At 47.5% G+C, this 26,686-nt stretch overlaps 1 long non-coding RNA gene and 2 pseudogenes across 1 annotated transcript in view, besides 6 other annotated features; 2 read left to right on the plus strand and 1 right to left on the minus strand.

Annotated features, from left to right (window-relative positions):
* LINC01599 (long intergenic non-protein coding RNA 1599) overlaps positions 1 to 26,686 on the minus strand; it is a 97,731-nt gene that overhangs the window by 26,308 nt on the left and 44,737 nt on the right. Inside the window, exons 3-6 of the long non-coding RNA NR_131171.1 lie at positions 19,154 to 19,284; positions 13,847 to 13,969; positions 5,772 to 5,849; positions 5,395 to 5,637 (exon numbers count right to left, since the gene is read on the minus strand). This is a non-coding gene — a long non-coding RNA (long intergenic non-protein coding RNA 1599). The remainder of the gene's footprint in view (positions 1 to 5,394; positions 5,638 to 5,771; positions 5,850 to 13,846; positions 13,970 to 19,153; positions 19,285 to 26,686) is intronic.
* Positions 4,305 to 4,394: a silencer, noted in NCBI's record as "silent region_5717". NCBI's record gives its function as "represses an Ori minimal core promoter by ATAC-STARR-seq in GM12878 lymphoblastoid cells {active_cell/tissue: GM12878}" and the evidence as "EXISTENCE:reporter gene assay evidence [ECO:0000049][PMID:35858748]".
* Positions 4,831 to 5,125: a silencer, noted in NCBI's record as "tiled region #12952; K562 Repressive DNase matched - State 8:EnhW". NCBI's record gives its function as "represses a minimal TATA promoter and a strong SV40 promoter by Sharpr-MPRA in K562 cells {active_cell/tissue: K562}" and the evidence as "EXISTENCE:reporter gene assay evidence [ECO:0000049][PMID:27701403]".
* Positions 4,985 to 5,034: an enhancer, noted in NCBI's record as "active region_8337". NCBI's record gives its function as "activates an Ori minimal core promoter by ATAC-STARR-seq in GM12878 lymphoblastoid cells {active_cell/tissue: GM12878}" and the evidence as "EXISTENCE:reporter gene assay evidence [ECO:0000049][PMID:35858748]".
* Positions 13,651 to 13,945: a silencer, noted in NCBI's record as "tiled region #10345; HepG2 Repressive DNase matched - State 5:Enh, and K562 Repressive non-DNase unmatched - State 23:Low". NCBI's record gives its function as "represses a minimal TATA promoter and a strong SV40 promoter by Sharpr-MPRA in HepG2 and K562 cells {active_cell/tissue: HepG2 | K562}" and the evidence as "EXISTENCE:reporter gene assay evidence [ECO:0000049][PMID:27701403]".
* Positions 16,669 to 18,066, plus strand: PDLIM1P1 (PDZ and LIM domain 1 pseudogene 1; annotated as a pseudogene).
* RPS15AP2 (ribosomal protein S15a pseudogene 2) lies at positions 19,616 to 19,977 on the plus strand (annotated as a pseudogene).
* Positions 22,332 to 22,391: an enhancer, noted in NCBI's record as "active region_8338". NCBI's record gives its function as "activates an Ori minimal core promoter by ATAC-STARR-seq in GM12878 lymphoblastoid cells {active_cell/tissue: GM12878}" and the evidence as "EXISTENCE:reporter gene assay evidence [ECO:0000049][PMID:35858748]".
* Positions 22,442 to 22,561: an enhancer, noted in NCBI's record as "active region_8339". NCBI's record gives its function as "activates an Ori minimal core promoter by ATAC-STARR-seq in GM12878 lymphoblastoid cells {active_cell/tissue: GM12878}" and the evidence as "EXISTENCE:reporter gene assay evidence [ECO:0000049][PMID:35858748]".

Consider the following 26,686-nt stretch of genomic DNA (forward strand, 5'->3'; position numbering starts at 1 on the left):
ATGTGCCACTGCACTCCAGCCTGGGAGACAGAGTGAGACTCTGTCTCAAAAAAAAAAAAAAAAAAGCCCTATATGCTCAAAGCAACCTTAGCTCAGCCCCTTGTGAGGTGAGACAGGTAAAGTAGGCAGTGGGAGGAGCCGGATGGTGGCAGCTTGGCCCAGTGGCTGGCTTTTGCAGAGCCTGTGGGTGTCCTTTGACCTTCTTCCCCCATCCCTGTGGACTTCCAATTCCACAAGCAGAAATCAAGCAGTGGATGAGGTGGGGGAACCCAGGCGGGAGAGATCACATACAAAGTTTTTTCACGTGTGCATTTGTGCACATGCAAGAATCATTCAACAAAGAAAGTTTAGTTGGGGTTTGCAGACTGTTCATAAGTTGAAAGATGCCTACCCATTTAGACATTTAGATTTTTCTGCCAGGAAAAGGAAAAAAAAAAGATTAAATGGATGGATGGATAGATGATAGATAGATAGGTAGATGATAGATGATAGATAGATAGATAGATAGATAGATAGATAGATAGATAGATGATAGATATTCAGACAGTCCTTGCCAGTCAGCGTCAGTTGTGCTTTCTGGGAAGTAGTCTTGTTTAACATGACCCCCAGGAAGTGAGCAGAAAAGGCCTTTCTGAAAGATTTGGTCTCTGTCAGGATACCCTGGTTGCCTCCAGGTGGAGAGAGGACTCCTTGAACTCCTCTACTGAGAGGAATATCCAAGGGAGACTTCTGGCCCAGCCAGGCCAGGTAAGAGTTCCAGAAAATGAGCATGAGAAGAGAGGGGAACCTGCTGCTTTGGGGTTTCTGCTGTTTCAAGGTAGCCCTGACTGGGGCAGCCACCAGCCACCAGTGATAGACAAAAGAGGTTAAAACACACACACACACACACACACACACACACACACACACACTGTGGCAAACAACATGGCTTGGGAATGGCTTTCACTCAGCACAGCAATCTCAATCAGGAACTACTGTGTCCAACACAGGATCGCATGGACTCCAGTTCATGCACTTAAAGATGTCGTGGTTAAATGTATGGACTCTGGAGGGAGTCTGTTTGGGTTCAAACCCCACCTTTTCAGCTGGGTGCAGTGGCTCACTCCTGCAATTTCAGCACTTTGGGAGGCTGAAGTGGGAAGATTGCTTGAGGCCAGGAGTTCAAGATCAGCCTGGGCAACATAGCGAGACCCCAGCTCTACACAAATAAACAAACAAAAACCCCCAAATCTCACCTTCTCTATGTATTAGCTGCTAACCTTAAGTTGCTTAGCCTCTCTGTGCCTCAGTTTCCTCATCTGTCACAACAACAAAAGGAATTAGAATATTAAAGCACTTCAAATAGTTTCTGGCAAATTAGCAAGCACTACTTATATAGTTGCTACTGGTGCAAATAACAGCCTTTCTGAAAGGGAACCATCCGATGCTTGAAGGGATGCAGCGTTTCAAGGCCACGAGGATGTTGGTGGTTTTTTTTTTCACTTTCCATCAGCTACAGAAATATAGGGGAGGCTAGCTGCTCCCCACATCTTCATGTCCCGATGTGAGGCTACAGGGAAATCGCTTGACTCCAGTGGCTGTCACCAAACTCCTCTGTTCTTTGGTACTTGAAGGATCTTGCCTGAGTTTGCTAGGGCTACCCCGACAAGTTATCACAAACTAGGTGACATAACCAACAGAAATTTGTCTTCTCAGAGTTCTAGAAGCTAGAGGTGCAAGATCAAGGTGTTGGCAGGGCTGGCTCCCCTGAGGGCTGAGAGGGAGAATCTGTTGGATGCCTTTCCCATGCTTCTGGTGGTTTGCTGGCAATCTCTGGTATTCCTTGGCTTGTTGAAGCACCACCCTGACCTCTGCCTGTATCTCACATGCTGTTCTCACTGTGGGTGTGTCTGTCCCCACCTTTTCTTTTTTTTCTTTTTTTCTTTTTTTTTTTTTTTTTTTTTTTGAGAAGGAGTCTCACTCTGTCACCCAGGCTGGAATGCAGTGGCTCAATCTCGGCTCACTGCAACCTCTGCCTCCCGGGTTCTTCTGCCTCAGCCTCCCAAGTAGCTGGGACTACAGACGCGTGCCCCTACACCTGGCTAATTTTTGTATTTTTAGTAGAAATGGGGTTTCACCATATTGGACAGGCTGGTCTCAAACTCCTGACCTTGTGATCCGCCCCCTTGGCCTCCCAAAGTCCTGGGATTACAGACATGAGCCGCCACCGCACCCGGCCAAATTTCCCCTTTTCATAAGGACAGGAGTTATATTAGATTAGGGCTGACCTTAATGACCACATTTTAACTTGATTACCTCTGTAAAGACTATCTCCAAATAAGGCCATAGTCTGAGGTACTGGGGTTTAAGCCTTCAACTTTTTTTTTGAGGCAGGGGCAGAGGGGACAGAATTCTATGCATCCCCAGCCTCACCGCACCCAAAGCCAGCATGCTGAGGCCTGCAATCACCCCAGACAGCCCCAAAGGTTTGTAACTAAACATGCTGACCTTCTCCCCTTGACTCTTGATGTTTTGGATTTGGTTAGCCAGAGGCTGGGGAAACAGATCCATTAAATTCTGCGTAGCTTGAAAAACCCATCTGCGTAGCTTGAAAAACCCAAGGCAGGGCAGGTCAGTGAAAGCACCTCCAATAATTCTTGTGGATTCTCTAAAAGGGTATGATTTTTCCAGCTCTGCCTGAGTATTGTAACTCTTCACACTTTCTTGGGAAGGGTGAGAATGGACAGGAAAGACCAGTTGCTTTGCTGGACTTTGTGTGATTCCCTGCGGCAGGACCTTTGCCAGGGCAGCCACTGAGGGAAGGTAGCCAAGACTTGGAGCACCTTCGGGCTGTGAGCCTCATTCATTCCTGGAGGCAAAAGTGCCCAGGGCAGGCCTAGCTCTGGTGTGGGAGTCAGGAAAGAGAGGAGGTGCAGGGCCGAGGGGAGGATAAGGGGATCAAGGAGGTGATGAAGGAGGCTGGGAAAATAGCTATTGTAATCACAGACTTTTCTATAAAATAGGTAATTTATGTGTAGTGCAGAACAATGATCTTTTCATTAAGCTGAAAAGAAGCTGTGTATAGTAGTTAGGATTATATTTGGCTGTGTGTGACAGAAAATGTCAAAGTAATAGATGCTTTTTTAAAAATTGACCCTTATTTCTCCCTTTTACAAAAGAAGTCGGGAATTAGGCAATCCAGGGCTGGTATGGCAGCCCAAGGCCATCAGGGAAGGAGGCTCCATGTAATACGCTGACCCTCCAACCTTAGCATGTCTCGTCCCTAATGGCTTTTCAGCCTCCAGCCAGGTACCAGGTAGCAGGAAAGGGCCTTCTCAGAGGCCCCGCATATTACCTCTGCTGACATCTCATTGGCCAGAACATAGTAAGGTGGCCACATAATCTTTTCTCTGGGTAGCTATGTACCTAGCAAAAACTGGGGACTTGTTATTAAGAAAAGACAAAAAGTTGGAGACCTACAGTGGTCTCCACTACACTGTATATGAAGGCAAGACAGTTAATTTCTACCTAAATTCCCAAATGTATCCTCAGGAAGAGAATGTTTCTGAAGCATGAATTCTTTGTGCATTGGAGGATCTTCCCTTTCAACCTTCAATTGCACTGCGTGAAAACCACTCCTCAGGTTCTCAGCTTCAACCTCACTTTCTCAAGGAACCCTCCTCAGGCCCCTCAGTCTGCATTAGGCTTCCCTGTTTTATGCTCCCATTGCACCTTATGCTTCTGCTTCAAAGCCTCTGCACCCTGGTCATTATTGACTCATCTGGAATTATGTGTGTAAGGGCTGTCTTGCCTGTAATCTAAACTGTAAGCTCCCTGAGGGCAGACTCTGCTTCACCCTCCACTGTCTTCCAATGTGTGGCACCTAGTAGGCCCTCAATAAGTATTTGTTAAGTGATTGAGTGATTAGAATATGAGAGAGACCCCAGATTCAAGGCCATTTCCACCGAGACCTTTTTTTTTTTTTTTTTTTTTTTGAGACAGAGTTTTGTTCTTGTTGCCCAGGCTGGAGTGCAGTGGCGCGATCTCGGCTCACTGCAACCTCCACCTTCTGGTTTCAAGCAATTCTCCTGCCTCAGCCTCCCAAGTAGCTGGGATTACAGGCATCTGCCACCACGCCCAGCTAATTTTTGTATTTTTAGTAGAGACGGGGTTTCACCATGTTGGCCATGCTGGTCTCAAACTCCTGACCTCGTGATCTGCCCATCTCAGCCTCCCAAAGTGCTGGGATTACAGGTGTGAGCCTCTGCACCCGGCCAACCTTTTCTTTCTTTAACTAGACTTCCCTGGCTGAGACCAAGACAAAACCAGATTCCCCTGAGCTGTGCACCTGCCGGGACTGGAGCAGCCCAAATGCCCATGGGAGGGCTGTTGACTGGGGCTGTCAGACCAGGCTCTCCGAGGAGGACTCCCACACCCACAGCCAACTCCACTTTACAAAACCAGCTCCAGCCAGAAGTATGCTCGGGGGGGCAGGAGAACAGAAACTGCAGTAGTGTGGGTGGATTTTAAATCTGCAAATGCAACTGGCTGCCCAATGTTTGGGAGATAAAATAGGTCACTATCCTCCCCTTGGTTCGGCGTCACTCCCAGGCCCTAAAGGGGAGGGAAGAATTTTGTGATCTTTGCTGTCACAGGCTATGGACAAATTTGGTTATGTTCAGCTTTACAAGAGCTGCCCGCCCACCTGACTCTTGTTCACAAGACCCCTAAAAATCAGAAAAAGATCAGTCCAGGCTGTTCAGAGTTGGATGGGGAATCTTCCTGAGGACAGTTTTTAAAGAGTCCATTTTGACACCAGCCAAGACAAAAGCCAGGACCCAGAGTCTAGACAGCTCCCAAGCCTGCCGTTTTCAACTTGGCCTTAGGATGGAGTCTTCTGTTCTCTGGCAATGAATGACAGGCTTTTAAAGGAGTGACAAAGAGCAAGCCCTGGAGAGAGCCCCATGAGGCCTTGGGGTAAGGGCTTCCAGGACTGTTCATGAGAAGCTGTGCATGTCTCCCTCCAGCTTCCCCAGATGAGACACCAAGATTGAGAAGTGAAGAGTCATCTCCAATTTGGCAGACATCCTGACCCTCCACACTCACCATTCTGATATTTAGTCATTACCATCCTGGCATAGTTAACCACTTCTCCTTCTGACTGAGAAGCTGAAAGTGATATTCAGCCTGGGTGTGATGTGGGGATTTTCTGGGACAGGGCGGAGATGATGAGATGCTGGAGTTGCATGAGCTGGTCATTACAGTCAAGACTTGTGAACCAGTTGTGAAACCCTTGGTAACCTGAAATCTGCTATGGTGGGAGTATTTACACTACAGAAATTGGCCAATGCTGCAAATCAGGGTTTCTTTCTTTTTTCAGTGAGACACTGCACCAGCACACACTGCATTACTCACGCAGGAGGAGCTCTGGGAGGGCGGGAGAAAACCATGGGTGAGCAGAGTTGAGGATGTTTGGTGCTTCCCCTGATGGCTTCATCATGTCATCTTTCTTGGCTCTTCATGGTCAGTGTTTTCTCCGTGGAAACACCAAGAGATTCTACCTCTGCTCCGTCAGCAAACAAGGAAGTCATTGATTTTCATGGCCCCTGTGCTAGAGAACTCCAAGAGCCCAACTTCTTCAAGCAGCAGGCCCATTTTCTGGTGGAGAAGAGAGAAGGCAAAGCCAGGGAAGGGCATTTAATAGTGACAACTCAGCGAAAAGTAGAGGCAGCCCAATGATCAAAGGTGTCTTCCTTCAAAGCCCCTGAGTGAAAACAGCAATCCATGCTTACCGATGAAGGCCACAGGTGATGTTTCTTATGTGAGTGCATCCATCTGCTTCAGGTCATATTTTCAGAGGTCATACAAGGCTGAAAGGAAGCAAATCATTTTCATGAGAAGGATAATAAATGAGACCAGGATTGGTATCGAGAAAAGTTTTTAGACATTTCTGAGCTGGCCAGCCTGGGGAAGAAAGTGCTTCTAGATACACAGATTTCCAGGACTCTCCCTGAGAGGGTTAGATTCTGGGGGTCTGCAGATGGGGCCAAGAACCCGTGTTTTAAACAGCCCCTTCCTCACCCCGTGATCCCGCTGATGGCAGCCTGCGGACCGCACTTGGAGGAACTGGTCTAGTGAGGGTCCTCGGAGGGCGTTTTGCAGTGGGTGGAACTGAACTCTGAGTGGGATCTTCCTTCAGTACCTAGGCCCTGCCCTGCCATGGCTATGGATCTTCAGCACTCATCCTTGGGGACTGGTGCTGGGTGTTACGGGAACAGCATAAAAACACAAAACAAAAAAATTCCATTTCTCACCACCGGCGGTGAGAAATGGGGGTGGAGCCTGGAACTGTGGTCACAGGGCTCCAAGAGGAGCAGCCAGGATGCCATTGCACAACCAGCCACCTCTAAGAGAAGCAGGACCAGGCCCAGGGCTAAGCCTTCACAAGCCCTGCCGCCAGCTGCCAGCCACCCTTCCTCCCTGGGAGAGCCAGAAAGGGAAGCATAGTGAAGCCCTACATGGTGGCCTCCATCAACAGGGAGGCCCCTCTCCTCCCTCTGCCGCAGCCATCCTACTTTCGGCCAGAATGTCCCAGGGCCAAACTGAGGACAGGGCGGCCTCTCCAGAATCCTGCCCTTAGGGGCCCTGCCAGAGACTGGTTTTTCTTGTTGGAGGCACCTCTGCACAGTTTGCATTTATAAGGCCTGAAGAACTCATCCCAAGAACCCAAGCCCACTTGCAAAGATGGGATAGAGAAGGGGCATGGCATTCCACAGATGGGCTCACTCTGGAGAGGAGCTACTGACCCAGCAGCAGTTCCCCCTCCCTCACCCCTGCTCACCACCCCAGGAAGACATCCGAATCCCCATCAAATGGTCCCTGCCAAGAGCATCGTGGTAACATGGGGAAAGAGAGGATGCTAAGTTGCCCCTCTGCCCACTGGACTCCGTCTCATCTGAGGAGAATTCCACAGCAGCCCCTTCTGGGCTGTGCTCTTTATGTCTCTAAGCCACTTCCTGTTTCCTTTTCTAGGTCATAAGCCAGGCTTATAGTTGGTGTGAGTCACTTACCTAGGAAGCCCAGAGCACACGGCTGCCTCTCAGGGAGGGAGCAAAGGATACAGCTTAGAAGTGCAAGGCACTGGTTTGCTCCTAAAACACATAGATTGTCCTAGACTTTTAGCAGTGCTGTGTACCATGGCCCCCAAGCAACGCACGCCTGGGAGATCCGTGATTTGCCCAATTTGCGTTCCTCTGCTGATGCCAGGCTTTCAGTTCCCAGGAGGCACCGGACAAGCGTAGTTTTGCAAATGAAACATTGCTTTGCCAAGGGGCTAGGCCTATCAGACAATCATCAGGCAACAGCCAGCAGGCCCTGTGAAAGTCATGGCCAAGAAGCCATTCAAAAGCATTGTCTTCTAGTAACTAAATTTCAAATCCAGGGGGAAACCACAGCTCAGACATCGGCCAGTGTTCAGCAATCTGGATTCACAGGGAAACGGACAGGAATAGATTCTGCACAAGTCTATTGTGCATTGTTTTCCCTTCATGACATCTAGGCAGTTTATTCCTCCTGACTTCCACTACTCACTGCATGAGGATTATTCTGTGGAAACCAGAGTACTAAGGACGAGGCGCTGGATGATTTGGTCAAAGTCAAATGTGCCAAGTCAGCATCGAGCAGCTATTTTTGCCTTCCAATTCCATTCCCTGAACTTTTTTTCTGTGAAAGTGTCTTGTAAGCTGGAACACACCTGAGGTGGCAGAGGAAAAGCAGAGTTCGAATCTCTTCCCCAGGCCTCTGAGTGAGTTTTGCATTCAGGGATGATACTGGGGCAAGGGGCTTGAAAGGTCCTGATGTTGCTGACACCCACATAAAACACTTTCTGCAGCAGGGAAGGGAAGGGGAGAGGAAAGAACAGGCAGAGAAAGACCCAGAAACTCAGATCAGCCTAGGATGAGGGTAGCTGTCCTGAAAACAATCAGAAATCCAGAGTCCTGACTCTCCAGCAGGTATGGTCTTGATCCTAGTGAGATTATCTTCAAAGAGAAAACAAACTCTAGTCATGCAGAGAAGCAGCATTGTTCCATGCAGATCTATAAAAAACAACAGAAAGAGCATCATCCCCTTAATTATTGAGGGAATAGGAAAATAGGAATCCGCATACCCTGCTGTTGAGAATATAAACTGGAAAAACTGAGGTGGGGAATCAGTTGAGGCCAGGAGTTCAAGACCAGCTTGCCTAACGTGGCGAAACCCCATCTCTACTAAAAATACAAAAATTAGCTGGGTGTGGTGGAGTGCACCTGCAATCCCAGCTACTCGGGAGGCTTAGGCTAGAGAATCGCTTGAACCTGGGAGGCAGAGGTTGCAGTGAACTGAGGTCACACCACTGCACTCCAGCCTGGGCAACAGAATTAGACTCTGTCTCAAAATAAATAAAATAAATAAATAACTGGAAAAACATTGCTGATTGGCCACTTGGTAATGTTTGAGGCAGAGACTATGCTTATTCTGGGTCCATTACACTCTTGTTTTCCTCCTGGACACTCAGGAAGACTACACTTTCCAGCCTCCCTTGCAGTTAGGAGCAGTCATGTGACTGAGTTCTGGACAATTGGAAGGTGGGCAGAGGAAGCGATGTGAGTCACTGCCAGGCCTGACCCTAAAACTACCTGTGTAATTCTCCATGCTCTGTCTCTCTCCCTTTACTTATCAGGTGAAATCAGAGCATCCAGTGGAGACGTCCAAGGCCGGTGGCAAATGGAGACCCATCATGTAGGCAAACCCTGGTTCCAGACGACCATGCAGAGTGCCCTCTACTCCCAACCAATGACTTGTGTTGAACTGTGACATAAAAGAGAAATACATCTTTATTGTGTTAAGCCACTGAGATGTTGGCTATGTCTGTTACAATATTTAGCCTATCCTGACTGACACACTATCACAATCCTTTAAAAGGTCATAAGCTTTGACCTAGCAATTAAATTCTTTGGAACATATCCTAAGGAAATAATTAAGAAAATCACCTAGGCTAGGCTCGGTGGCTCATGCCTGTAATCCCAGCACTTTGGGAGGCCGAGGCAGGCAGATCACGAGGTCAGGAGATCGAGACCATCCTGGCTAACACGGTGAAACCCCGTCTCTACTAAAAATACAAAAAAGTAGCCGGGTGTGGTGGCAGGCGCCTGTAGTCCCAGCTACTCAGGAGGCTGAGGCAGGAGAATGGTGTGAACCTGGGAGGCGGAGCTTGAAGTGAGCCGAGATCGGGCCACTGCACTCCAGCCTGGGTGACAGAGCGAGACTCCGTCTCAAAAAAAAAAAAAGAATAATCACCAAAAATTATAAACAGACTGGGCGTGGTGGCTCACACCTGTAATCCCAGCACTTTGGGAGGCAGAGATGAGAGGATTGCTTGAGGCCAGGAGTTTGAGACCAGCCTGGTCAACATAGCAAGACTCCATCTCTAATAAAATTTTTTTAAAAAATTATAAACAACATTAATCTCCAATAATAGGCAACTCATTAAATAAATAATAATACAACTCTACAAAGGAATATTTAGGCACTTAATATCGTTTAAATGTATTTATTGACATGAAAAATTTTCATGATTTAGTATTACATGAAATAGAGTAACAAAGCAACATGGACGGTGTGAGCCCATAACTATTTATATATGTATATGCATGCAAAGAAGAAAGTTTGGAAATATACCAAAAAACAGTGATTATTTCTGGACTACAGGTGGCTTTTAAAAATTATCTCTTTCTTGCAGTTTTATGCTTTTTTTACAATGAGCATATATTTTTCTCAGTTAAAAAAATTTTTTTGGCTGGGTGTGGTGGCTCACGCCTGTAATCCCAGCACCTTGGGAGGCCAAGGCAGGCAGATCACAAGGTAAGGAGTTCAAGACCAGCCTGGCCAATATGGTGAAACCCCATCTCTACTAAAAATACAAAAAAAAAAAATTAGCTGGGAGTGGTGGCGCACGCCTGTAGTCCTAGCTACTTGGGAGGCCGAGGCAGAAGAATCGCTTGAACCCGGGAGGCAGAGGTTGCAGTGAGCCGAGATCACGCCACTGCACTCCAGCCTGGGCAACAGAGCGAGACTCCGTCTCAAAAAGAATTTTTTTTTTAAGTAGCCTGTTGGAAATGGATGGGTCTCCTTTGAACTTTAGGGCTGGCCTTACTCGCTCTCAAAGTGTTAAGTGTAATGAGTGCAAAGGAACCACAGGTCCCTTCCACTCTTCTGGGCTAAAATGCCACCATTAGTAAGGTTAAATACCTATTTTATCTTCACCACTGAGAGCAACTCTCAAGCCCTTCATTCACTTAGCTTCAGGGCTCAGTTCTGACATAGTGCTCTGGCTTTAAGGAAAGATGTACCTTTTTATCACAATGTTTTTCAGGATTTTCTCAGAGTTGCTGGGCCTCAGAACTCTCTTCTTTTGAGTCCTAATTTGGATAATTTGGGAAACTGCAGCCACAGGTCCTCCCTCCCTTGAGATTGGCTGAGTGAGGCAGACTACGCCTACAGCGCAGAAAGCAGGGCAGGAAATCATACTCTAATCATAGGTCTTTATTCAGAAACCCAGCAGCCTCACTACCAAATAACCTCAGGAGTCCTAAAGCCTCAGTGTCCTGACCTATAAGATCAAAGAGTCTCATGTGATGTCCCCAAGTGGACTTTTAATAAAAAGTAGCACTGCCAGTTTCTGTTTTGACCTTCCAACCACAGGATCATGCCAACATTCAGTAGTAAATGCATTTTTTTTTCCTGCCAAATCGACTCCTTGTTCTTTTCAACACATCCTCACACAGAGGGAACAAGCCACTGAGGTTTCCTGTTGAGGAAGGTTCTTTGGTGTTCTGTGAGGAAACCATATATTCAAAGAAACCATGTGTAAGTTTTCTGTGTAGTAGGACAGAACTACCTTAATTTAACTTGATGTCTTTTCGACAAACCATGTACCCCTAACATGAAGAAATGGAAGGAAGGTGTTTATTTTCATCCCAGCTCTTACTCTGCTGCATTGTTCCTGTGTACATTTCTCTTATTCCACAGAGTAGGAGCTTCTTGAGGACCATGACAGTCATTTATTTCTCCCTCCCTGCTCCTGGCACTAGCAGGACCTCCCTTCCTCCCTCTTAACAAAGTTTTCAGTGAATAAGTGAATGAATGAACTTTCCCCTGTTTCCTTATGGGTTTCAACCAGCACAGACTACCTGCCTTTGTTAAAATGGTTCCTGTGTGTCTTTGTCTCTACGGGCACTGTGTTTTATGGGTTTCTCGAAACCTTCCCATGCACACAGTAGTGTAGCAGTAAGATCAGCTACATACATTGTAGGACCCACTGAAAAATGAAAATGCAGGGCCCCTTGTTCAAAAATTATTTACAATGTCAAATTATTCAAAATTAATAAAATTAATTTTTAAACCCTAAATTAAATAGTAAATGATTAAGAATTTCAAAGCTTTGCAGGGTACAGCAGCACAGGCAAGCCTGGTTCTCGTCCACCACATGGCTCAGCTTCCTGTTCCTCCCCTCTGCTCGGAGTCACAGTCCCGAGGCCAGCGGGGTGTTTACCGACTTGGGCCTACCCACACCCTGCCCTGCATCCTGTCACCAGAGTTTCATTTGGAGTCCTGAGCAAAGGTCTCCAATTGCTGATTCTACTGCCAACAGAAAACACTCTCCCCCTTCTGGATGTGTTGGCAGGAAAACCAAATTTTTATCTCTCCAGGTCAGCTAAAATCTTGAGGCCAGTTAACTTTCCCAGTGATCTCATCCGAATCATCCTTCACTTCTGCCCCCAGTGAAACTGAATCTGCACTCTGCCCGACTCTCAGCCCAAGTGAGGTGCCACACCCACACCTCACTTGTCTTCTACTGAGGCCTTTCCTGATAACCCGTTTCCCTGGGTTGCCCTCTCTCACCCTTGAGACCCCTGTTCAGTTGTGAACAGTCTCTCCATTCTATGGCTGCAGACTCTTGACTGAAATCTGTTTGCCTCCATCAAAACTAGATGTTTCCAAGGAAACCACCTGCCCCTGTGTGGCTCTAACAGTTCCCAAGTGGAATCTTCCAGTGCCTCTCCCCACTGCCAGATCTGCCATCACCACAGAAAAGCTGAATTTTCATGTGTGAATCAGCCAGTATCCTGGCCTCAAATTTGTTCACCTCCTTAACTTTGGTGACCATTGTCTCCTCTCCACCTCAGCCATCTCTATATCCTGTACATTCTCAAAACTCAGAACTGAAATGGTAAACTTCAATATCCCTAAACTTATTGAAAACACACAAACTCCAATATCCCACATTCTCATTTCAATTCCTTGGTTTCCAGCATTCATACTGTCAAACATCAGCATTTTTGTGCTCCTCCACATGGCCTGTCTCCATGTGGAGAGCTTGGGCTTCCTCACAGCATGGTGGTCTCGAGGTAGTCAGACTTGCTACATGGTAGCTGGTCTCCAAGAGTAAAAGCAGACGCTGATAAACCTTTTGAAAGTTAGGCCCAGAACTGGCACAGCATCCTCTCTGCCTTGTTCTGTCAGTCAAAGCAAGTAATAAGAAATCATGAGGTGAGTCCAGATTCAATGGAAGGAGAAATAAACTTCACCTCTTGAACAGTGGAGCAGCATGTGTATACAATGGGAGAAGGATTTGATGGTGGCCATTTTTGGACACTGTCTACTACAGAGGAGAGAGAAAATAAATATATAGACAAACAGGAAAATACCAGATAGTAATTGTCAGGCCTCTGAGCCCAAGCTAAGCCATCATATTCCCTGTGACCGGCAGGTATACATACAGATGGCCTGAAGTAACTGAAGAATCACAAAAGAAGTGAAAATGGCCTGTTCCTGCCTTAACTGATGACCTTACCTTGTGAAATTCCTTCTCCTGGCTCAAAAGCTCCCCCACTGAGCACCTTGTGACCCCCACCCCTGCCTGCCAGAGAACAACCGCCTTTGACTGTAATTTTCCACTACCTACGCAAATCCTATAAAACGGCCCCACCCCTATCTCCCTTCGCTGACTCTCTTTTCGGACTCAGCCCGCCTGCACCCAGGTGAAATAAACAGCCTTGTTGCTCACACAAAGCCTGTTTGGTGGTCTTGTCACACGGACGCAAGTGAAAGTAGTAAGAGCTGTTCAGAGAATCGAAACAGGGTGATTTGATGGAGAATGACTGAGGAACTCCTGGAGATTGAGGGGGTTGTCAGGGAAAGTCTCTCTCAGGAAGTGATGTTTAAATTACAACTTGTGGCTGGGCGTGGTGGCTCACGCCTGTAATCCCAGCACTTTGGGAGGCCAAGGCTGGTGGATCATCTGAGGAAAGGAGTTCGAGATCAGCCTGGCCAACATGGTGAAACCCCATCTCTATTAAAAATACAAAAATTAGCTGGATGCAGCGCTAGGCTCCTGTAATCCCAGCTACTCAGGAGGCTGAGGTGGGAAAATCGCTTGAACCCAGGAGGCAGAGGTTGCAGTGAGCTGAGATTGCGCCATTGCACTCCAGCCTGGGCGACAAGAGTGAAACTCCGTCTCAAAAAATAAAAATAGAAATAAATTACAATTTGAAAAGCAAGAATTTCCAGCTGTGTGAAGGTCCAGGCAGGAAGAAGAGCCAGCAGAAATGCTCTAACATGGGACTGAGCCAGGCAAGTTTAAGGAATAGAAAGACCACATGTTAGGAGTGTAGAAAAGGACAGGGAGCATGGGCTGGAAAACAGGTCAGACAAGTGGGAAGGGCCAGATCAAGTGAATCAGGGGAAGGAAGCTGGACTTTATTCCCAGAACCATTCATGGAAAGTGATTGAAGGGTTTGCAGCAGAGAGGGGACATAATATGACTTACATTAGTGAAAGGTCACTCTGGCTGCCTTGCAGAGAACAGGAAGTGTAAGTGTGGAAGCAACAAGACCAGTCAGGAGGCTACTGTGAAAGCCCAGGGGAGATGGTGGCTTGTTCTGGCTGCTGGCTGTGGGGAGGAGACAAAACAGAGATAAGTTTGGTGGCTGGACCAGAAGTTGCTGAGGATTGAGCCTTTGCTGTCTTGGTTCAATTCCCCTTCATGCCCAGGTGATCACTGCAGAAACCTCCTGGTTGGTCCTCACCCACACCTAGCTGTCGGTTAGTGCCCCTCCTTAGAGTTTTGTGGGGGGTTTCTGTTTTGTTGAGACAGGGTCTGCTTCTGTTGCCCAGGCTGGATTGCAGTGGTGCAATCATAGCTTACTATAACCTTGAACTCCTAGACTTCAAGCAATCCTCTTGCCTGGCGTCTGTAGTAGCTTGGACTACAGACAACACCACCATGCCCAGCTAATTAAAAAAAAAAAAAAAAAAAAGATAACTTTTGTAGAGATGGAGTCTCGCTATGTTGCCTAGGCTGGTCTCCAACTCCTGGGCTCAAGTGATCCTCCCACCTTGGCCTCCCAAAGTGCTGGGATTACAGGTGTAAGCCATGGTGCCCAGACCTCCTTAGAGTTTTTAAGATTACTTTAAATTCCATATCGTTGCACACAATGAGACCCTTCATGGTAGGCTCTGCTCCTTCCCACTTAGATTGGTTTCCCATCTCTGTCCCACATAGGCCTTTGCTCCAGCCAGATCTAAGTCTTCACTGTTCCCTGACCATGTCCTGGTTCATGACCCTGTGCCTGGCATGTGCTGTCTACTCTGCCTAAAATATTTCTTCTCCCTCACCTCCATTACTTTGTCTACCCAACTTCTGTTCCTCCCTCAAAATCTAACAGGTGTCACCTCTTCCACTAAGCCTTCCCTGAAACCCCAGTTTTATATAGATTTCTATGCACGTGACACACAACAGCATAAATGTCCAACATCTCTTCCAATTGGTTGGGGTTTCTTAAGGACAGAGACCATCCCTAGAACCCGGCACAGGGCTCCATAAGCTGATGCTATCATTTTCAGCACAGGTTACCCTTGGAGTGTGAAAATGTGTCTTACAAGGTGAAATCACAGCAGAAAGATTTGATAGACCCCCGTAATGAGGTCCTCCATTCTCCCAGGCTGATTCTGGGAGGCTGGACTCATCACTTAAGAAGCCTGCAAGTAAGGGCCGGGCACAGTGGCTCACGCCTGTAATCCCAGCACTTTGGGAGGCCAAGGCAGGTGGATCACGAGGTCAGGAGTTCACTCTAGCCTGGCCAACATGGTGAAACCATGTCTTTACTAAAATCACAAAAATTAGCCGGGCCTGGTGGCGCATGCCTGTAATCCCAGCTACTCAGGAGGCTGAGGCAGGAGAATTGCTTGAACGCAGGAGGTGGAGGTTGCAGTGAGCTGAGATCGTGTCACTGCACTCCAGCCTGGGGGGATACAGCAAGACTCTGTCTGAAAAAAAAAAAAAAAAAAAAAAAGAGAAGCCTGCAAGTCTTCAATGGGAGAACTGACACAAGATCTTCAGGGCTCGACATGCTCCAGGAAAGGTCTGGCCCCTGCACACAATGGTCACCATTACTGCTGGTAATAGCATTGGCTCTTGGCAGAATTAGTACTCAGACCACCATTCTCCCCTCGCTCCTACCCATAGTCTCTGGGAAGATCTGAAAAGCCTACTGCTGTCAACATGAAGTTCACCATAGTGCTTAAAGGTAAATACACTACAAGTGGCTGACTCTAAAATCTATACCCAGACCCGGTCCTCGTTTCTGAACTTCAGACTCTCATATCAAATTGCCTGATGGACTTCAGTACCTAGATATCCTCCAAACTTGGCAAAACTGAACTCATCGTTTCTCTTGCCCCCATATACTCATAAGTGGCAGCCCACTGGGAATGACTGATGGATGTCTCTTGAGTTCATCCCCTTCATTGCCATTGCCAGGATCCTGTTGCAAGCCCTTAGCTTCTCTGGCCTGCAGAACCACCTGAGCCCTTCCCCAGCCTCCCTCTTCCTGGCCTCATCTTCCTCAGGTACCCAGAGCATCTCTCCAAAATGCAAATCTAATCTTGTCGTTCCTCTCTCACAAAACCCTTAATTGCTCAATGCAGGTTATCAAACTTTAGTTTGCATCTGAATTGCCTTATAAGCTTCTTAAAAAATGCAGATTCCTGAGCCCCCTCCAGACCTCCAAAAATCCAAAGTTCTGTGGGTGGAGTGATGCACATTCTCAACCAGTGCCCAAGGGGTTCTGATAGAGCTGGGTTCCACTTTGAGAAACACTGCCATGCACAGGCAACTCCAAGTTCCATCATTCACTCCACCGGGCCCTTCTCAGGCCAGGGACACCTCAAGCAAGGTCTGTGTCATCCACTGCCTCCTGACACACCCTACTCTCCATGGTATGGCTTACCTTCCACCTTTGCTCTATCTTGCCTGGTGCCAAGAATGTCTTCTTCGAAAGACCGAGCCCTTTTTTCATTCCGATAACTCAATAATCCTTTGGAACGTTGCTACTCAAAGCATCAGCATCTCCTGGGATCTTGTTAGAAATTCAGAATCGCAGGCCCCACCCCAGCCCTACTGAATCAGAGCCTTGGTAATTCCAATGCACATAAGAGAAGAAGAAGCACAGCCTTATAACTTGGCTCAATAGTCACCTGTTCCAAGAAGCCTTCCTAAGCTGACACAGACTCATCAAATACCCATTCCTCCAAACTGACATTGGACATCACAATCACAGGGCTTGTAACATTTAAAAGTTAGGAATCTCAAGCTGCCGGGGGATCCCTGCACGCCATGCCACATCCTGCCTGTCTGTCCCCGCGGGTCGTTGCCCACGACAGCCGCGCCATGACCACCCAGCAGCTCGTCCTCCAGGGCCTGGGCCCATGGGGCTTCCGTCTCGTGGGTGTCAAGGACTTCGAGCAGCCTCACTATTTGCCGGGTCACTCCTGGAAGCAAGGTGGCTCTAGCTAATTTATGTATCAGAGATGTAATCACAGCCATTGATGGGGAAAATTCTAGCAATATGACGCACTTGGAAGCTCAGAACAGAATCAAAGGCTGCAAAGACAACATGACTCTCACTGTAGCCAGATCCGAACATAAAGTCTGGTCTCCTCGGTGATGGAGGAAGAGAAGTGTCGTCCATACAAGATGAATTTAGTCTCTGAACCCCAGGAGGTCCTGCACATAGGAAGCGCCCACAACCGAAGTTCCATGCCCTTTACCACCTCGCCTGCCTCCAGCACTAACGCCAGGGTCATCACAAACCAGTACAACAACCCAGCTGGCCTCTACTCTTCTGAAAATATATCCAACTTCAACAACGCCCTGGAGTCAGACTGCTACCAGCGGGGTAGAGGCGAACATGCTCAGCCTCCAATCAGCCTTGTCATCGACAAAGAATCTGAAGTTTGCAAGGTGCTTCAGGAGATACGGGAGTTGAATGAGCCCCCAAAACAGTCTGTGTCTTTTCTGGTTTTGCAGAAAATCCTGGAGTCTGAAGAAAAAGAGGATCCCAACAAGCCCTCAGGATTCAGAAGTGTTAAAGCTCCTGTCACTAAAGTGGCTGCATTGATTGGAAATGCTCAGAAGTTGCCTATGTGTGACAAATGTGGCCCTGGAATTGTCGGTGTGTTCGTGAAGCTGTGGGACCGTCACCGCCATCCCGAGTGTTACTTGTGCACTGACTGTTGCACCAACCTGAAACAGAGGGACCATTTCTTTGTGGAGGATCAAATCTACTGTGAGAAACATGCCTGGGAGTGAGTCGCACCACCCGAGGGCTATGAAGTGGTTACCGTGTTCCCCAAGTGACCCGGCAGATCCGACCACTGTTCTCCAGCCGGCCTGTGCTGCAGCTTTTTCTCTGAGTGTCCTGGCCCTCTCCTATCTTGAAAGTTCTCTGCTTACTTTGGTTTTCCCCCTGCTCGTAAAACATTGAGTCCCCTGCCTTGGTTAATTGATTCACACTGGTTGTGTGATGCCCGTTTTTACAATTAAAGGAAAACAGTTTTGTTCAGTGTCCCCTTGCCAGAAACACCATGTCCTTTCCTCCCCTCTCTTCTTCTCTGCTGCATTTAGACATCAGCCAAATTTGAACCCAATCAAATATAATGTATCTGACATCGATTTTGTTTTTACTCAATAAATTTATAGACTCCAAAAATAAAAAATAAAAATAAATAAAAGTTAGGAATCTCATAGTCCAGTCCCAGAGAACTGTCAGATTTAAAGAGTGGCCCAAAGAAGAATTCCAATGCCATTATCCCCAAAGCCCAGGGAACACTCCTTTTTCATTCTTGCAGTCCCATGCCCCATCTTGGCACCTTGCCCCCTTTCTTCTCTGCTGGTGTTCAGCCCCACAGGAGGTGTTTCCGACATGCCCGGTCCCCCTGTCTCATCTGGCCTCTGTGGCGTGGTTCTTCTTCGGCACTGCTTTTCTCCTGAGAATCTTGCTGGGTGGCTCCGTCTCTTCTCCTTTCAGAGAGTGGGGCAGGTGGAAGGAATGAAGTGGGCAGTGCCTGGTGTTCTCAGTGGGTTCTGGGCTGTCATAGAAGTGCCTCTTCATGTTTCTCTCTCTCCCATCCTTGGACAGCAAGAGTCCTGTTCATTGTTGGACACCCAACATGTCCCTCACATGGTGGGAAGAGCACCAGCCCAGGGGCCAGAGGACTGTTCTCACACCCGGCTCTGCCACGGACTAGGGATGTCACCTGGGGCAGGCCCCTGTACCTCTCTGGACCTCTAGTTATTGGTCTATTAAAGGGGATAATACTTGCCCAGTCGGCCTTACACCTTCCATAAGATGTTTCTTTTCTTTTCTTTTCTTTTCTTTTCTTTTTTCTTTTCAGATGGAGTTTCATTCTTGCTATCCAGGCTGGAGTGCAGTGGCACGATCTTGGCTCACTGCAACCTCCACCTCCCAGGTTCAAGCCATTCTCTTGCCTCAGCCTCCTGATTAGCTGGGATTACAGGTGCAGGCTGCCAGGTCCAGCAATTTTTTTTTTGTATTTTTAGTAGAGATGGGGTTTCACCATGTTGGCCAGGCTGGTCTTGAACTCCTGACCTTAGGTGATCTGCCCGCCACGGCGTCCCAAAGTGCTGGGATTACAGGTGTGAGCTACTGCGCCTGGCCCCATAAGATGTTTCTACAAAGTGAAGACAGTACCTGGGTATGACACATAGGCATGCATGCACGCACGTGCGTGCACACGCACACACAGACACACACACACACACGCTTATACTCACAGCCACTCCATCTCGGTGCTGTTCATCAGCCAAAACAAAAGACAGCAGAATCCCATCTTTCTTCCATTTTCAGTGCTGCCGCAATGGTCTGCATGAGTGGCCTGGCTGACACCCTCAGAGCACCAACAATGCTGAAAAGAGAAGCAGACACCAGGTTCTTTTTTTCTCTTTCTTTCTTTTTTTGAGACAGAGTCTTGCTCTGTCACCCAGGCTGAAGTGCAGTGGCGCGATCTCGGTTCACTGCAACCTCCACCTTCTGGGTTCAAGTGATTCTCCTGCCTCAGCCTCCCAAGTAGCTGGGACTACAGGCATGCACCACCAAGCCTGGCTAATTTTTGTATTTTTGGTAGCGACGGGGTTTCACCATGTTGGCCAGGCTGGTATTGAACTCCTGATCCCAAGTGATCCACCTACCTCAGCCTCCCAAATTTCTGGGATTACAGGCATGAGCCAGTGTGCCTGGCCAACACCAGGTTCTTATTAGGCTGTGCTCCAATATCATCATCTGGTTTCTCATTGTGATGATGAAGCTTGATAACTTTGGAAAATTTGAAATCGTCGTTGATCCTAGAACTGAGAAAATTGTTGTGACCCTCACAGGCAGGCTAAATAAATGTGCAGTGATCATCTCCAGATTTACTGTGCAACTCAAAGACCTAGAAAAATGGCAGATTAGTCTCCATCCCATCAGTTTGGTTTTATTGACCTGATGACTGAAGCTGGCATCATGGACCACGAGGAAGCACGAGAAAGGCACAGAGGAGAGAAAACCCTGGGATTCTTTTTCTGGGGATGAAATACATGATTACAAATTAAATGCTTCCCTCAATAAACAAAACCGAGAGAGAGAGAGAGAGAGAGAGAGAGAGAGAGAGAGAGAAGAGAGTGAGCAAAGCCCCAGGTCAGTTGTCTGCCGGCTGCTGCTCTGAGTCTCAGCCAGAGCTCTGGACGAGGAGGAACTCAATCCCCTTGGCATCCCCATGAGTGCCTAGAGTGGAGATTTCTCCTCTGCAGCAAACTGGGTATCTAGTACATGTGGACGTTCTCACTGAGGAGTGTTTCAGAGCCATTAGCAGACACAGAAGTATTCTGGCCATCCAGGGAGTTGGTCGCAGCTCGCTCTAGCAGAGGAGTGAGGGACTAGGGGCCCGGGAGTTAGCATGCTTGCCTAGGACATCTGTGGAATCTTTATTTTCCCTTTTTTCCTGCTGAATGAGGTGAGAGAGTTCTCTAAATGGGTATGGGGTCAAGGAACACTTATTATTTTTGGAATAGTTACAAAGATCTCTCAGGCATAAATGAGACTTGGAAACTGGACTACTCCTCCCCTCCCCACTTCCATTTGATGAATGACAGCTCTTCATGTATGACACACCTACCATGTGACATGCACTGTATTAGATGCTTGACTTCTGTTGTTTTAGTTGGCACGTTCTTTTCACACAGTTGAAAATGAGGCCCAGGTGCTCACGTGATTTTTAGAACCTAGGGTAGAGCCTGGAGCATCTGCCCTTCACCTCCATCTTCCTCACTCTGTCAGCCTTTCCCAAGGCATTCTCAGTAGAGGCCTAGTCTGGGGGGACCTTCTGTGGTCAGATGAATTGGTTGGGCACTGTCAGCACTTTATGTGCCCCTTGGTTTCAGGATGCTGTGAGCTGAACATCACAGGATACCCTAAGGCCTAAACTACAAAGTGACAAACCCAAAGGGCCATTCTGGGGTGGTTAATGCAGCAACTTAACAGCATCAAAGATCAAGACCAGTTTCTCTGAGATTTTCTTGGCTTTTCCCTCATGATTCCAACAGGACTGCAGTAGCGCCAAGCCCATGTCTTCACATGACAATGTCCTAAGGCAGGAAGGGGCAAGTACTCATCCTGTGTCATGTTTTAAGAGCCAAGAAATCCTTCCTAGAGGTTCCCAGGGCCGATCGTCTTTGCATTCGTTACATGCAGGACCACAGCACATGGCTATAACTAAAGCAGTTACTGAAGGAAAATGGCTCCGACCTGTGAACATTTCATCCTGGGACCAGGGAGGAGCCCATGAGACACACAGGTGCTATAAACCAACAAAACTGAGGGTCTCTCAGCAAAGGCGTGCGGCAAGGAATGTTGAGCAGGAAACCAACACGGTTTTCCATACCCTTCTTGAAGATTTGCATTGCACATTAATATGTTTAAGGCTCTATTGTAAAGAAAGGTATTTTACTTCTTTTTTTTTTTTTTTTTTTTTGAGACAGAGTCTCACTCTGTCACCCAGGCTGGAGTGCACTGCCGTGATCTCAGCTCACTGCAAGCTCCACCTCCCGGGTTCATGGCATTCTCCTGCCTCAGCCTCCCAAGTAGCTGGGACTACAGGCACCCGCCACCACGCCCGCTAATTTTTTGAATTCTTTAGTAGAGACAAGGTTTCACCGTGTTAACCAGGATGGTCTCGATCTCCTGGCCTTGTGATCCGCCCACCTCGGCCTCCCAAAGTGCTGGGATTACAGGTGTGAGCCACCACGCCCGGCTGGTATTTTACTTGTTTTAACCCAGTGCTTCCCAGACTTTTTTTTTTTTTTTTGAGACAAGAGTCTCGCTCTGGAGTGCAGGCTGGAGTGCAGTGGTGGGATCTCGGCTCACTGCAACCTCTGCGTCCCGGGTTCAAGCAATTCTCCCGCCTCAGCCTCCTGAGTAGCTGGGATTACAGGCGTGCACCATCATGCCCGGCTAATTTTTGTATTTTTAGTAGATTCAGGGTTTCACCATGTTGGCCAGGTTGGTCTTGAACTCCTGACCTCAAATGATCCACCCGCCTTGGCCTCCCAAAGTGCTGGGAATTCAGGCATGAGCCACTGCGCTCGGCCCAGACTTATTTTTTCTTGGAGTTCTTATTAACTCCCTGCAGACACGGTGAGCAAAACTGGGTCCGCCATGCTGTTTTCCTCAGTTAAACGACTGTCCTGAGAGCTCTTTGGCACAGCCGTGCAGCCAGATAGTGCCCTTTGCAAACACCAGAGAACAATGAGAGCTAGAAGAATGGCTGGGTTCAGTCATTTGAAGGAAAGAGTTTTCTTTGGCTCATTTAATGGGAAATAAAGGCAAGAGTTCTTTCCTGTGGGCTTCTTTTCCTTTTGGCCATTCTAAATTAATAGGTTTAAGACATTACTTTTAGTTTAATTTCTTTCCATTACACTTTCAGTACTCCAGTGCCACCAGGGAGGGCAGCAATGACTGCTTTTAATAGTGATTAAAGACGGACCCATGGTTAGGTCAAACCAGGCCTGCACCTCCTCCCATGCTGCACGTGCATCGGCATCAGCAAAGCCTGCAAGAATGCTCTTGAGTGATGACTTCCCCATGGCCACTTGTCTGCAGCAAGCAGCCTGCCAGAAGCCGGGACAGCTGGCAGCCCGTGCCCACCAAGCTCTCAGCCCCAAAACCTCTCCTTCTCTCTCCTCCTCAGTCCTCCTGTCTCCCCACCCATAGTGTGTTCTCTAGCAATACATCCATTAGTTGTTTCCCTGCTGCTAGACATCTAGATTACTTAAACTGCTTTTGCTGTTGGAAGCAATGCCTCCCTGAGCATGCGTGTGAGCATTTCTCAAAGGTAGATCCCAGAACGAGGAATCACTTGGTTCACCAGGCTTGCACATTTAAAAATGTGACAGATACAGGCTTTTAAACTGCTCCATCGCCTTGGTGCAGAATGGAACTCCTGAGAGGTGAGGTCAGCGAGAAGATGTGAGTGGCTCTGAGCTGACGTTAGCCTGTGTGTTCCTGTCCCAGCACTCACACCGTGCAGGGAGGGAGAAGTTACGAGTGGCTCTGAGCTGGCCAGTGGACCGCATGTTCCTATCCCGGCAGTCACACAGTGCAGTGAGAAGATGTGTGTGGCTCTGAACTGGCCGGTGGACCGCGTGTTCCCGTGTGGCACTCACACCAGGCAGTGAGAAGATGTGTGTGGCTCTGAGCTGACGGTAGCCTGCGTGTTCCCGTCCCGGCACTCACACCCGTGCAGTGTTGCTTCTCCTGCACTTGCTGATCCTATAATTGATATAGGGAAGGGCCTGGTAATGGATTGTCTCAGGGGGAAAAAATGATTCCCCTTCTATGTTTCTGCTCAGTCATTTCCTCTTCCGCCGGGGTGGGATGAGATAGGAATAGGAAGGGTTTGAGGAAAGAAGTCCTTTGTTTAAAAATAGCAGAGAAGTGCTGCTTGGTAATTTCCCTGATTTTTACTCACTGAAGAACCTGACTCCAGCTCTTCTTGAGTTTGGGATGGACAATGGAATGGCTTGGCGCCATCCTAGGCTCTGTCATGCGTTCATGCAACAAGCATTTGTTGAACACCTCAGGGGTATAGCATACTGATTGATCAGGGCATCACTGGCCTTCATGCAGATGTGGGGTCCTGGGAGCCCCCTACTATTTGAGTCAAGGCCTGTTTCATTGTTCTTGACTGAATGTTTGTGTTTCTCCCAAAATTCTTATGTTGAAGTCCTAATCCTCAGGGCAATGGTATTTGGAGATGGGGCTTTTAGGGAGGTAATGAGTTAGGTGAGGTCACAAGGGTGGGGGGCCTCGTTCTGATGGGACTACTGTCCTTTAGAAGAAGGAACACCAGAGAGCATGCTCACTCTCTCTCCCCCCTCCCCATGTGAGCACTTAGCAGGAAGGCAGCTGCCTGCAAACCAGGAAGAGAGACCTCACCAGGAACCAGATTAACTCGCACCCTGATCTTGGACCCGGAACTGTGAGAAAATACATTTCCGTTGTTGAAGCCACCTAGTCGATGGTATTTTATTATGGCAGCCCAAGAAGACTAAGACAGCTGGGTAGCTGGGAGGTGCCATGGGGAGCACACAGGGACTTGGGGAGTGACCAGCCACCCACTGGTACAGAAGTATTTCAGTATTTCAACAACAGATACAAAAATGCTAGCACCAGCACTGTTCATGGGGTTTACATGCTAGTGAGAAGAGACAGACAATATACAAAATAAGCAAAATAAATAGTGTGTCAAATGGTGTAACCTCTGTGGAAACAAACAAGGCAGAGAGAGAATTAGCAAGTGCCTTGGAGGAGGGAGGTTGCTACTTTATGTTGTACAAAGAAGGAAAGAGAAGGAGAAAGGCGTGCTCCCTATCCTTTAAGGCACACTATCATTTAAGGGCATTTTACAGAAGTTGTGCACACTTACTTATTCTTAAAGCCTCTTGCTCAGAACTTAATCATACAGCCACACCTTGCTGAGAGAGAAGATGGGAAACACAGACCAAATTCTGGAAAGCCATGTGCACAGCTGTGGGTCAGGGGAGGTGGGGGTCTCTGCTACTGAAGGTGCAGAGACTAGGAATTGGGAGGCCACCAGCCACAACAGGGGAATAACATGACTGGATTGTGTTGTAGAAAGATAATTTTTCAGGATCTGTTGGGAGACAGTTCTCCATGCGTCTCTAGCATTTGTGGGTGTCTTATGAGCAGGAGCACTCACTGCCTCTGTTCTGGAATCTCTTTCCAAAGGCATTTGAATAGCAAATAGCCTTGGAAGACAAGACTCTCCCTTTGGAGCAAAGTACAGGCATGCTTAGTGCCTAGTATAAGAAAGATAATGTCTTCTGCAGAAGAGGTCAGAGACTTATTGCCTATCATAAAAGATGCTGATTCTCTAAGCTCAGCATTCCTCCCCTCTAACACAACCCACTGTGTGTGCAGGTGCAACTGGGCCTTCTTTATGTTGACCTGTGGAAATTGGAGCCAAGGGAACCAGCATAAGAACATATACTTAATTTCCACTTTACAAGAACAGATATATATATATGTAATTATTCCCATGTATCAAGGGAAAATTGTACCTTTACAATGAAAAGATCTGGCAGACACCACCTTAACAAGGTGATCAAACTTAACACACCAATAACTGACATCATGTGTCTCTTAATGTGATACACTGAAAAGAATCCAGTGTTATCTCTGTTAAAAATATACAGCATGACTCTAATCATGAGGAAAAAGCAAATCCAAATTGAAGGATACAAAAAATGCTAATATGATGAAATATAAAAAAGGACAGGAAAACAATTCTAGGTTACGGGGGCTAAACAGATAAGACAACTAAATGCAATTTGTTATCCATGATTGGCTCTTGAATTGAAAAGGGAAAAAAAACTATCATAATATCTTATATCCATAAACAAATTCCACTTGGCAAAATTGAATGTGGATATATATTAATATTAGATATTATTATATCATTGTTAATATTTCTTTTCTTTTTTTTTCCTTTTTTTTTTAGACAGAGTTTCAATCTTATTGACCAGGCTGGAGTGCAGTGGCGTGATCTTGGCTCACTGCAACCTCTGCCTTCTGGTTTCAAGCGATTCTCCTGCCTCAGCCTCCCAAGTAGCTGGGATTAGAGGTGCCTGCCACCACGCCTGACTAATTTTTTGTATTTTTAGTACAGATGGGGTTTCATGTTGGCCAGGCTGGTCTTGAACTCCTGACCTCGTGATCCACCTGCCTTGGCCTCCCAAAGTGCTGGGATTATAGGCATGAGCCACAGCGCCCAGCCCTGTTAAATTTCTTGAATGTGATCACGGTATTGTGACTGTGGGGAAAATGTTCGCATTCTTAGGCAATACATGCAGAAATATGTAGGGGAGAAGTGTCATGGCATCAGCAACTTATTTTCAAATGGTTCAGAAAAAACACACATACATGAATATATAGGGAAAAAGAGAACATAACTGTCACTAAATGCTAATAACTGGTGAATCTAGGTGAAGGGTATGTAGGTATTCACTGAATTATTCTGTCAACTTCTTTGTAGTTGGATTTTTTTAAAACAAAAAGTTGGAGAACATGGAAAAGAATCCTGGTGGCCTGTGAAGGATGGATGGGGGCAGGGGGTGGACCTGGTTTGGGGACAGCTGTACTGGGAGCTCTGTCCCCTCAGGAAGTCTCTCTCCACCACTCATCATGGCTTCTCCCTGCAGCATGTCCCCTCGCTGCTGCAGGCAGGCTTTGCCAGGCTGCAGATGCATGGCCACAGGCCCCTCTGGATTCCCAGCCTTCCAGCAAGCATCTAGAGAGAAAAGAGCCTGCTGCAGCTAGAAAAACCCTGGGATCTAATGAGCTCAGCTTGGGTCATGTGCTCCTCCCAACTCCCACTCCTACCCCTGCCAACCACCCATTGGGTCAGACCCATGCACTCCAGGCACTGAGGGGAGAGCTAGGAGGGAGAATCAATCAGACTCGGGAGGGAGAGGGCAGAGCAGCAGAGGGTTAAGGATGAGCCAATGGTTTCTAACTAGGGGGACTAGGGAAGGCAGCCTTAACTGAAAGAGAATACAAGACAAGCCAGTTTGGGTGTTCTGTTTTGAACTCGATAAATTCAGAAGCTTTGCGAGGATCTAGGGGGAGAATCTCACAGATTGCTGGGAATACAAATCTGTAGCTCAAAAACGCATTGGCAGTGCCTGCTGCTTGATGAAGGCATGGGTGTGCGGGCTTCATCTGGAGAATGCGGAAGATTCCATCATGCCTAG

The sequence above is a fragment of the Homo sapiens genome, chromosome 14 (assembly GCF_000001405.40).
Source record: "Homo sapiens chromosome 14, GRCh38.p14 Primary Assembly".
Classification (NCBI taxonomy): domain Eukaryota; kingdom Metazoa; phylum Chordata; class Mammalia; order Primates; family Hominidae; genus Homo; species Homo sapiens.